This window comes from Homo sapiens, chromosome 13 (genome assembly GCF_000001405.40).
Source record: "Homo sapiens chromosome 13, GRCh38.p14 Primary Assembly".
Lineage (NCBI taxonomy): Eukaryota > Metazoa > Chordata > Mammalia > Primates > Hominidae > Homo > Homo sapiens.
Window position 1 is genome coordinate 109,521,020 of NC_000013.11, and position 11,908 is coordinate 109,532,927.

An 11,908-nucleotide genomic window follows, 5' to 3' on the forward strand; every position below is an offset into this window, starting at 1 on the left:
TTATCCACTTTGTTGAATGTGTCATATTATCAGTAGTGTCCCCTCTGTGTTCTTTAGGACTATTTTGCTCTAAATCCTGTGTTGCCTGGTAACAAACTCACCATCTTAACTTTATTATTGGCTTGTATTTGGTAGCATATCTTTCTTAAATCCTTTATAAAAAAAAAGTCAGTACATATTGTTTTCAGTGTGTCTTTTCATGACAACTAACTGCTGGATTTGTTCATTTTCTTCATCAAGCAAATCTGAGATCTGTCCTTTGGGAAGTTTAGCTTCTTTGCAGTTACTGATATTTCTGATACCTCATATTGTGCTTTATTTACTAAACTTCATTTTATTTCTTTTTCTTTTCTTGTTATTTATAATTAGGTATATTTTCTTCTACTGCTTTAAAAAGCTATTTAATTTTAATTTTCTTAGACTTGTCTTTATTTTATAAAGACCTATAATTTAACTTTTCCTCCTAATTTCCATCTTTCCTGGAAACAAGATACAATATTCACCTGCTTCTCATGGTCTCATATTCTGATATTCTGTCAGCCACGCCTCCGCCTCTGCTGCCGTCGGGCTCTGCACTCCAACGGGGCCTTGTCACTGGAGTTTGGGTTCTGGATTCCTGTGCTTCTCTTTGTTTTGTTGATGTGATTTTGGTTTTAGTCACTGCTTACTGAGAATACAATCAAACGCGCCCGTTTATTTACTGAACCTTGCTTTCCATGTATCCCCGTGTGCTCCTCAGTTTGTATCTCCTCATAGGATGGCATCTCTCAAGTATCTTTTGGAAGAGGAATCTTGTGGTCAACATTCTGTGGTCCTTTGTACTAGGGAATTCCTTTCTGCCATCCTCGTGGTGCGCTCGGATCTCGGGCCCCGGCGTGGGCTCCGCGGCCGCCGCTCCCTTGGCGCTTTGGGTTCCTCCTCCCTTTGCTGCGGGAGTCTTCGCTTCGCAGGGCCCCGGAGCACCTCACAGTTTTCTTTGTGTCTGACATTCTTTTTTGAGACGGAGTCTCACTCTGTTGCCCAAGCTGAAGTGCAGTGGAGCGATCTCAGCTCACTGCAAACTCCGCCTCCCGGGTTCAAGCGATTCTCCTGCCTCAGCCTCCCGAGTAGCTGGGATTACAGGCACGCACCTGTATTTTTAGTAGAGACAGGGTTTCACTGTGTTGGCCAGGATGGTCTCGATCTCTTGACCTCGTGATCCGCCAGCCTCGGTCTCCCAAAGTGCTGGGATTACAGGCGCGAGCCACCGCAACATAGCCAAATGCGGGTCTCCCCATCTCTTCTGCTTGGCACTCTACACTTTTCCATCCTAGGCCTTCCGACTTTCTTTAATACTGGAAGGCTCTCTGTCATTATTTAACAAAATATATCATCTGGTTTTTTTTTCTACTTAGTCACTCATATTAGGACTTTCAATACTTCAACTTCTTTCTTCCATTCCTCTTAACTTTCTTTTTAAATTTTTCCATCCATTTATCACTAATGGAATTATTTGGAGACCTCCTCTCCTGATTTTTCCAGCTCACTTCTGCCTACTGTGACTACAGTCATTTTGCTATTAGGGTGGTGTAAAAGTAATGGCAGTTTTTGCAATTAGAAGTAACGGCAAAAAAAACGCCATTACCTTTACACCAACTTAATATTTAGCCCTTGTGTTTTTTGTCTAAGCAATTGTATTTTTCATAAAAAATATTTTCATTTCCTTTACCTGGTGACAGCCTGATCCTAGCTCATATTTCCCATATGTTCTGTTAGGGTCTCTTTGAGTTCCAGTCTGCGGGCCCTGTGCCTAGACTTCCTGGTCCTAACTGAAATTCTGTCTCTTATTAGCTGTGTAAGTTTTAGAAAGATTCTTAGCTCCTCCTTGCTTGAGTTTATTCATCTGCGAAACAGAAATAAGTGCCTATGTCATAGAGCTACTGAAAAGAGCAAAAGAAACAAAGTAGGTAAGTTGCTTAGAACAGTGCTTGAAACATAATAAATACTAGCAATTATTGTTCATTTAAATTGATTTCTGTATTTTCCAGTAATTATACTCCCCCTGCTAAAAGTTTCTCAGCATGTGGTCTTTCTTTTATGGGGTGGTACTGGATAGATGGCTTGTGGCTGTTCTTTTCTGTGAGCACATATTCAATGAGAGCTCAAAGAGCTCTGATTCCCTAGAAAATAGTCACAGCTTTCTGTTTAGATTTCCATCAACTTTCTTACTTTTTTGCTATGGCCTGGGATAAATTCAGAGACAAAACCACCAGAGTCCAAAGTTAGTCACCCATCTTATCCTCTGAGGAGTCTATTGATGCTTTATTTTCCTGTTTAAATTATTGATAGGAGTAACAGGAAAGAGAAAATGTGGAATTCTAGCATGATGGCACTCAAAGATGATGAGGGATAAGATATTGCAGTGTTGGACCTGTGAAGAAACATCCTCCTCCTCCCACCAAACATATATACTGGCACCTTGAGCATCTGAGTAAAAGTATTCAGGAATGAGGGTGGCAGACGAAAAACAAGTGGAGAGGAAGGGGAAGTCTCATCTTAGGAGCAGACATGACCCTAGTCCATCATATTGAAGAAAGATGGCTGGGAAATGAAGAAAAAAAACCTCACTTGCACCTGCTTCTTACCTGACTGCTCCTCTCACCCACGGTGCTCCACATAAGCAAAACGCAAACATGCACAGCTGCGCCAGAAACAACAGAACTGGAGACGTGTCTGTCATGTTCCATAGGGTGATGGTACTTCACAGTTGGAGCCAGATACTCTCAGTCATGCCTATTGTTTCCATGGAATTTTGTGGGTTTTTCTGTTTTTTTTTTTGAGACAGGGTCTCACTCCATCACCCAGTCTGGAGTGCAGTCTCGGCTCACTGCAACCTCCACCTTCCGGGTTCAAGTGATTCTCATGCCTCAGCCTCCCGAGTACCTGGGATTATAGGTGCACACCACCACTTCCAACTACTTTTTGTATTTTTTGTAGAGATGGGGTTTAGCCAAGTTGGCCAGGCTGGTCTGGAACACCTGGCATCAAGTGATCCACCTGTCTTGGCCTTCCGAAGTGCTGGGATTACAGGTTGAGCCACTGTGCCTGTTTCTGTGTAATTATTAATGACACCTCTTTCACTCCCAAGAATGGGTCCTTATTTGCATGATAAATTATATCATTATATCTGTATCATATATCTGTACACTTTATAAACCTTTTAAAATGCCACTAGAAATGTAGCATTTGAAGATGAAGCAATGCATTGGTTTTGTGTTGCTGCTGTCACAAATGACCACAAACTTAGTGGCTTAAAACAACAAAAATGTATTATCTTGCAGTTGTGAAGGTTGGAAGTCCAAAATAAGGTTCAGCATGTTAAGATGGAGCTGCCTGCAGAGCCTCATTCCTCCTGGAGACCCAGGGGAGAATCGTTCCCTTGCCTTTTCCAGCTTCCAGAGGCACCTGCGTTGTGAGGCTGGAGGTGCGTTCCCCCTTTTCAAAGCCTGCAAAGGTGAGACAAGTGTTCTGATTTTGGAGGACATGTTTATGTGGAGTCTCCTACCTCTCCTCTTCATTTCTGAGAACCTTGTGATTACCTTCGGTTTGTCCAGATAACGCAGGATCATGTCCCTATTTTAAATTCTTGACTATTCACATTTGCATGGTCTCTTTTGTCATGTAAGGTGACAGAGTCCCAGGTTCTGGGGATTCGGGCTTGTACAATTGGCGGGGGGTTGCGGGGGGCGGGGGTCAGATTTCTGCCTACCACAGGTGATTACAGAGGCTGTGACGGTCAGGTCTGACTTGGAAGTGGCAGCTTCCTCTTCCAAGGAGATGAACTCAGTGATGTTTGATGGAGCAGGACACTGCAGGGTCCTTCAGCTCAGACCCGTGGGGACATTGGAGTGAGCATGTCCTTTCAGAGTTCTAAAGAAATAACACAACAGCAACAACCAACACCTCACAGCCTTGTGTGGAGTACTAACAGAATGATCAGCATAAGTGTGGGGGTTAGGGAAGAAAATCGATAGCATGGCACAGGCAGCCCAAGTCCCTGGCACCCTCCATGCCGGAGGAATGAGCACTCACCACAGCACCAGGAAAGGTGACCAGGAATACTCAGGGCTCATTACACTCAAGAAGGACGCAGCAAGCAGCACCAAGAAGAAGTCATTGTTTTATACCTCCAAGTGCTTTATGCCCCAGGCCAGCTCAGAACTCCTCTGTTCTTCCCCTTTTCTTGTGCTTCAGCCTGCATCTCAGCTAGTGGGAAACTTGTCCAGGGGGACACCCAGACCCCATCCTCCGCTGAGCCCTGAGTCCTCAGCCACCAGCCTCAGGGGCATTTTAGAAGGCCTCAGCTTGGGGACTGCAAAGGGGGTTGCTGGATTTCTTAAGGCGTTAGAACTAAAAGGGATGTTGGAATGACTAGGGTGATACTGTCAGGATAGAATTAGACCTGTCTTCAAAGCCTCGTGTGGCATCCCGGAAAGAGGGTCCTGGCAGTCACATAGGGGCATCTTTAAAGCTGCCACCAACCCCTTGCTGGTGCTCTCCTGGCCTTTTCTTAGAGACTTCACAGAGTTCTCTGAGTTTTTGCTTCTTGTCAAAACAGTCTCAAGCGTCCTCTCCCAACAGGTGTCTGTGGTAATGCATCTGGTTCTCTCACCTTCTGTCATTTGGTCTGGAAATCACCACAACAAAATTTTTATTTGCTTTATGTAGTATAAATTGTTTACATATATGTAAATTATATGTATGTATTTATGTGTATATGTAATATCAAGTATGTGTACTATCAAGTATCTATGCACAACATAATTAGATACAAAAATCACACACACACACACACACACACACACACACACGAATTGTCTTTTCTGGGAGAAGCACACGGCTGCTGAAATGGTAGATAAAACAGGTGCACAAGGATGACCCATAGTGTAACAAATGTGCATATTCACTTTAAGAACCTAGTTAGGATGTTAGCTTGTGTCCATGTGAAATGATAAAAGATGGCATGCAATGGTATGATTCATTGTGGCACTAACTATTAATACCCACTGCCAAGATTGTCAGTTTGTATGTCCCCTTCCTGTGCCCTCTGTAAACGCACTCCAGTCCAGCATTTTACCCCTTCTATCTCCTGGCCAGAAATCCTTAAATGGCAAATAACTACCATTTGATGGTAGGAGCATAATCTCCTACCTTACTCACAAAAGGACCAGAGTGGACACCTTGCCCCGTATCTGCAGTTGCAGTGTAGCATGGAGTTAAAGCTAGACTACAGGACCATCTGTCACACCCCCACAGACACATAGAGAATCCGAGACCAGGGTCACCGCAACGTAGTGCCAGATGCTGGATACGAAGCCAAGTCTGGACGTTTGCCTACTACTTCTTCCTACCACTACCTTACATTCCAGGTTTATGCTTGGAGGAATGAAATTAATCCACCTTAATTTAATTGCTTAACTTAGTTATTCACTGTCTATTCCACCAGACAACCTCTTTCTGTAGGGAAAATCAATGCAATGCCTTGACTGTCCTGAGCTCTACTTCATGTCAGCAAGGCAGGAATCATCCTTGGGTGCTGTGTGTGCAAACGTGTCTGGCTGGAACACCATGGGCTGGAGTGTGAGTGAAAAACCAGTCCCACCCACACTGTGTCTACCTTTCACCCTTTGCTACTGAGCCACGTCACTTTTCCCCTGGCACAGGGTCATCTCTGTTCTCCCACTGTCAATCATCTCAACTTGACTCAAACATCCATCTTTCTGTTAGAAACTTTCCACCCTGCGTCCATGGGATTTCAAAGTTGTTGCATTGGCTGTCAGTTTATTGACTAAATCTGCAATGATGAAAGAATCCCCAAGAGAACTCCTGCAGAAAGATATGGTGCCCCTAAAACCAATTTGCACTGCCCCTCATTTTAGTCCCCCAAACATTTCACCTAAACGTTTCAAACTTCTGTTGTTGGAATGAGACAAAGGGGGCCTTTGACTTAATTACACTCTTTAAAAGCATCTTCACTCATCTCTGCCAAGGATTATCTTCCCTGTGTGAAAGTGGACCCACCTTGCACAGAAATACACCAAGTTGTAATGACCACAATTACAGGCAGTCGGAACAGCAGCACACCAACACCAGAGCTAAAAGCATATCTGATTTTCAAATGGTGCTGGAGTTGCTTGCTACAACCCATACTCTATCTTGCCTGGCAGGACTAGAGGAAAAAAGCAAATGTTCCTCATATTTGAAAATTCAATGACATTTTATTTCCATGTTACATTTGCATTTTTCAAATCTACGTTTTCTTTTTAATCAGGGTCATGAATTATACCTTCCCTGATTATATTTATACCCACTTCGGTTTTCCCTTTTCCTTCTTTTTTCCCTCTCTTCCTGCCTTTCTTCCTGCTGTCCTGCCTTCTTCGCTGCATTTTTTCAGGTACATCTTCTTCATGTATTTTTAAATTTAGTGACATATGGTTGGCTTTTGCATTTTTGGATATCTAGTCTGAGAGTGTTATCTTTTAATATTTTAAGCCACTCCCAATGAATTTTTTTAAAAAAGGACTAACACCAATGTGTCAAACATTTTGTTTTCTGTTTCCTTTCTTATACTCTTCTTTCTTCCTGTTCATTCCTGACTTTCTTTGTGCTGTTCACCATTTTTCTAACACCTGCACCTTGCAGGCATAGTCGAATTCTTTCCCTTCCACAAATGTGGCCCAGTCCTTCCAGCTGCCTGTCTGGCACATACCTCATCTGTCTATTGTCACTGCCTTCACTTGGCTAGTTCTTATTCATCCTTGATTCTCACGTTGAATGATTTTGCCCTGAGAGACCCTTCCTCAGCCCTCTGCTCCCATGACATCCCTGACTTCCTTATCTTAGAGGACTATGCACTGTGTCAATTTTCTGGGTATAAGGATAAGCTCCATGAAGTCAGGAATGATCTCATACACAAGTGCTTAGCATGGTTCCTAGGATAAAGTAGACATAATAAAAATTCATGGAATAGTTCCATGAGTAGTTGATTACTTAGAGAGTCTAATTAGCCCACAGACTGTTGAAGACTGTAGGAATGGCTGGCAGCCTTTGCTGAAGGAACTTGATCTTTGTTGAGCTTCAGCTTCCTTTGTGCCTGAAATCAGCTCTCAATTTTCACATCCATCTCACGCTGGCCTCTACGGAGTGAGTGTAATCCAGCAAAGTGGCACCACATCAGTCAGTGGATCATTTTTGCAACTTGTGGGTCAGGGTATGAGCTCTGTCAGTGACTCTGAGCCCTGTGCCTCCTGGCTCTAAGTCTGGTAGTCTGCGCTTACTCTCTGTTTCCCGATTTCTCATCCACCAGGTGGAAAGGAACAATGATCCCCTTGACTGGCTTCTCTGAAATGTTAGGAAAACTGTAGGTTTATTTTCCACCAGGACCAGGTTAGACCATCAGAAGACTCTATACCTGGATCACATTGCTTCGCCTTTTCACAGAACTGCATTGAAGGACATTTTAAGAACCATCCTCCTGAAATGTATTAAAGTTATTTAATATGGAAGTCCCCATGATTTCACATGTTCAGTATTTGAGGACCCATGGGAAAAACCCCACTTGTATGTAAGTATTAGAAGAAGACGTGCTCTTCCTGCCTGGCTGCTCGTTTGCTGTCTGTTTAATCTTATCATACTGGAAATCATGTATCCATCTTTGACTTGATTGCCAGAAAGACCTGGAGAAAAAGGTGTTGCCTGCCCCTCCACCTGTTTGGCCACAGGGGTCATCCTGGGTCCTGCCTGACTTGTTATATTTTCTTCTTGCCCAGATCGCCTTACCTATTGATTTTATCTTTTTTGTCTTATAAGTATTTTGTAAACCTTCCTTTTTTAAAATAGATGAAATAGTTTTTCTACCCCAGGGACTGACAGCAAAAAAAAAAAAAAAAAGCAAAAGATAAATTTTTGAAGCCTAGATTTTCACTGCTGTTCCCAATCATCACAGTCAATAAGGAGCTGATAAAAATTTTCCTTGAAGTCTTGATACTCAAAAAACCTATTACCATTATGATTATAATCTTTTACTTAATGGAACGGAGAACGTTTCTTCCTTTCTTTCATTTTCTATTTCTCTATTTTCCATGAATTTATTTATATGTGATATAAATGCTTCTGTTTTAATATCAATTTTTTTGAGACGGGGTCTGGCTCTGTCACTAAGGCTGAAGTGCAGTGGTGCAATTACAGCTCACTGCGACCTCGACCTCCTGATCCTCCTGCCAGCCTCCTGAGTAGCTGGGATCACAGGCATGTGCCACTGTACCCAGCTAATTTTGTTTTTAATTTTTAGAGATGAGGTCTCTTTATGCTATCTAGGCTGGTCTCAAACTCCTGGGCTAAAGTCATGCTCCCACCTCAGCTCCCCAAAGCACTGGGATTACAGGCATGAGCCACTGTGCTCGGCCCTAATATCAATTTTATAGGTTTGTTTGTTTTTTAAAGACAGAGCCTTGCTCTGTCACCCAGGTTGGAGTGTAGTGGTGCGATCTCAGCTCACTGCAACCTCCACCTCCCAGGCTCAAGTGATTCTTGTGGCTCAGCCTCCCGAGTAGCAGGGATTACAGGTGCCCACCACCACACCCAGCTAACTTTTGTATTTTTAGTAGAGATGGGGTTTCATGATGTTTCCCAGGCTGGTTTCAAACCCCTGACCTCAAGTGATCTATCTGCCTTGGCCTCCCAAAGTGCTGAGATTACAGGCATGAGCCTCCATGCCCAACCAATTTTATGTACCATTGCTATTCTGTCAGCGGTCTGATATTCATAAAGCCCAGGACTAGAGAGAAAATGTGAGCTCTGCTGCCTCTCATATGCAGGAAGCATGGACGTTCTGAGGACAGGTACAGTGCACTCATGGCCTGGTTACCTCTCACCAGTTCCCCTCTTCCTAACTGTGCTCTCTTTCTTCCTTCATTTTTTATAAACCCGTAATGCTTGTAAAGAATGTTCACATCTCTTTTAACAAACACTAAAATCCCCCGAGGGAGTTATTGCCTTCATCCTCAATTTTTCACACAAGAAAACTGAAACTCTGATGGGAGTCTAAGGGTGGATGCTGTGTCATTTGCCCAAAGTTGTGCAGCTGGCAAGGGGGCGACTCAGCATCTTCATGGAGAGCATCCTCTCTGGGGCTGGCTGGAGGCGGGTTCAGATGGCAGCTTCTGCATGTTCCCTGTGTACCATTCTACTTAGCATCTCTGCCTTAATTTCCATAACAGCAAATGTGGATAACAAGTGAACCTGCTTAAAGGCCGTTGTGAAGTTAAGTGAGACAACAAATGCAAAAGTATCCAAAACATAATAAGTTCTCAACAGATGTTTGTCAAAAAGATAAATGATAAAACACTGGGTCTGAATGTAGCCCTTTTGACTCCAGATCCAGTATCCCTTTTAATTAAACTACCATCTCTGTTGGCAGGTGGTTGAGAGATTTGTGAGCCACGTGGAGAAGACCTGAAGCTGTGAACTGGATACCATGGCAGCTGATGTCAGGACAGGCCGTCGATAGATGACCAAACCCTGCATCCAAAGTGAGCTTTCCTGTCGGTGTTTTGACTTCTCGTGTGAACAATGACTGAGGTGGTTCATTCCTGCAGAGAAGCCCCTTCCTTCTCACCACGCACCATCTGGGAGGCTGGACTGCAAAGGTGAAATGGACAATCAGCCCACTGGAAAAGTGACTGCTGGGCTGTAGGAAAGGGCAGGGCTCATGGCCTTGCTGTCCAAACACCACTCACAAGTCCAGCAAAGGAAGGGTTGAATGAATTTTCAAAGCACTTTGAACTTTCAGGGGAGAATAAAATAGAATGGAAAAGAGTAGAATAAAATAACCCAGACCAACCCACTCAAGTCCAAGGTAACCCCAAAGAAAGACTTACTAATTGTGATCTCAGCAATCACTGAGATACTAGGTGAGCCTCTTCCATCATTGCTAGTGTCTCACTGGAGTACTACATCTTAGCAAATTCTTTATTATTATTATTATTATTATTATTATTATTATTATTATTATTATTTTTTGAGACGGACACTCGCGGCAACACCCAGGCTGAAGTGCCGTGGTAAAATCTCGGCTCACTGCAACCTCCACTTCTTGAGTTCAAGTCATTCTCCTGCCTCAGCCTCTCGAGTAGCTAGGACTACAGGTGTGCACCACCACCAAGCCTGGCTAATTTTTGTATTTTTAGTAGAGACAGGGTTTCACCATGTTGGCCAGGCTGGTCTCGAACTCCTGGCCTCAAGTGATCCACCTGCCTCGGCCTCTCAAAGCACTGGGATTACAGGCATGAGCCACCGCACCCAGCCCATCTTAGCAAATTCTTAAGCTGCGTCTGCACTGAGAGGAAAAGCATTCACCCATCAGTGATAGTTACTTTGAGCCCAGGAGAGGGGGAAATGTCCGAATATGAGCAATCCTTGTCCTGGAGATGAAGTCTCCCCTCACCATCCCATCTATGGAGTTATCTGTGGAACTGGATAGAGAACTATATTCTTCCTATCCATTAAATTACAGAACATATTACAAAGGAAAATCGGGTATCCACAAGACAACATTGTATTTTGGGGTGGTATGATACTACCATGGCTCTTCTGGTAATTGAAGGATATAAGCTATGCAAAATGATTCTCACTGCGAATAAAACATTTGCTTCAGGAGCTTCTAAAGGTGAGGGCAATACAATTTGTGTTTGTTTAAAACATAATGTCATCCATAACTAATGGCATAGCTCTGGCTCAGTAAAGCTTGAAACTATTGTATATATTTGAAGCTGGATTTCTGAATCCTGAGATGAGAAATAAATTTACCCTTAAGCTTTTATTTTATTTTTTCATGGTAAAGGTTATTTCAGTGACTGAACATTTGGTTCCTTTTCAGTATGTTTTCTAGTGTTATTTACCATCAAGTTATAAGAGCAAGAAAATTGCTGAAACCAGCTTTCAAATGGTGGGCCTGAAAACCAGGAGTATTAACTTAGGTTACCAAGAGTTCTTTTAATGCTGTTTCTCCATACTATAATTTAACCTCTTGACACAGTCTTTAGAAAGATTGTCTTTTAAAAAGTCAGTTAAAAGGGTTTTTATCCATCTGGATATACATTTTTAAAAAATTTAAAAAAAAATAATCTATTACGACATCATTGAAATCTACTCAAAAATTATACATCTAAATGCATGCAAGACAGCAATACAGAATGACTCTTAGATGATCATATCCCAGTGGAAATGATGCTTAACCCATGTGCAGGGAACTGTGACAGGGATCATACAAGGGGAATTTTAAAAATTCATTTAGTCAGTCAGCCTTGAAAACTTTTTATTTTTTGTTTGGCTACATCCAGCATGTAAGTGTATTAGTCCATTTTCACACTGCTATAAAGAACTACCTGGGACTAGGTAATTTATAAAGAGAAGAGGTTTAATTGAATCACAGTTCTGCATGGCTGGGGAGGTCTCAGGAAACTTACAATCAGGGTGGAAGGTGAAGGGGAAGCGGGCACCTTCTTCACAAGGCGGCAGGAGAGAGAGAGAGTGAGGAGGGAAGTGCCAAGAACTTTTAAACCATGAGATCTCCTGGGAGCTCACTCACTATTATGAGAAAATCACAGGGGAAACCACCCCCATGAGCCAATCATTTCCCACCAGGTCCCTCCCTCAATATGTAGGAATTGTAATTCAAGATGAGATTTGGGTGGGGACACAGAGCCAAACCATATCAGTAAGGTTTTACACTTTGACGTGATTCATAGACAGACACTTTCCTGTATGAATGCTTAAGTAATTCCAACACAAGGAAGATTATGGCTACTGATTTAAGTAGAATATGGGTATGAGTATCATGTATAGTGGTTCAGGAGGACAGGGATTCAGA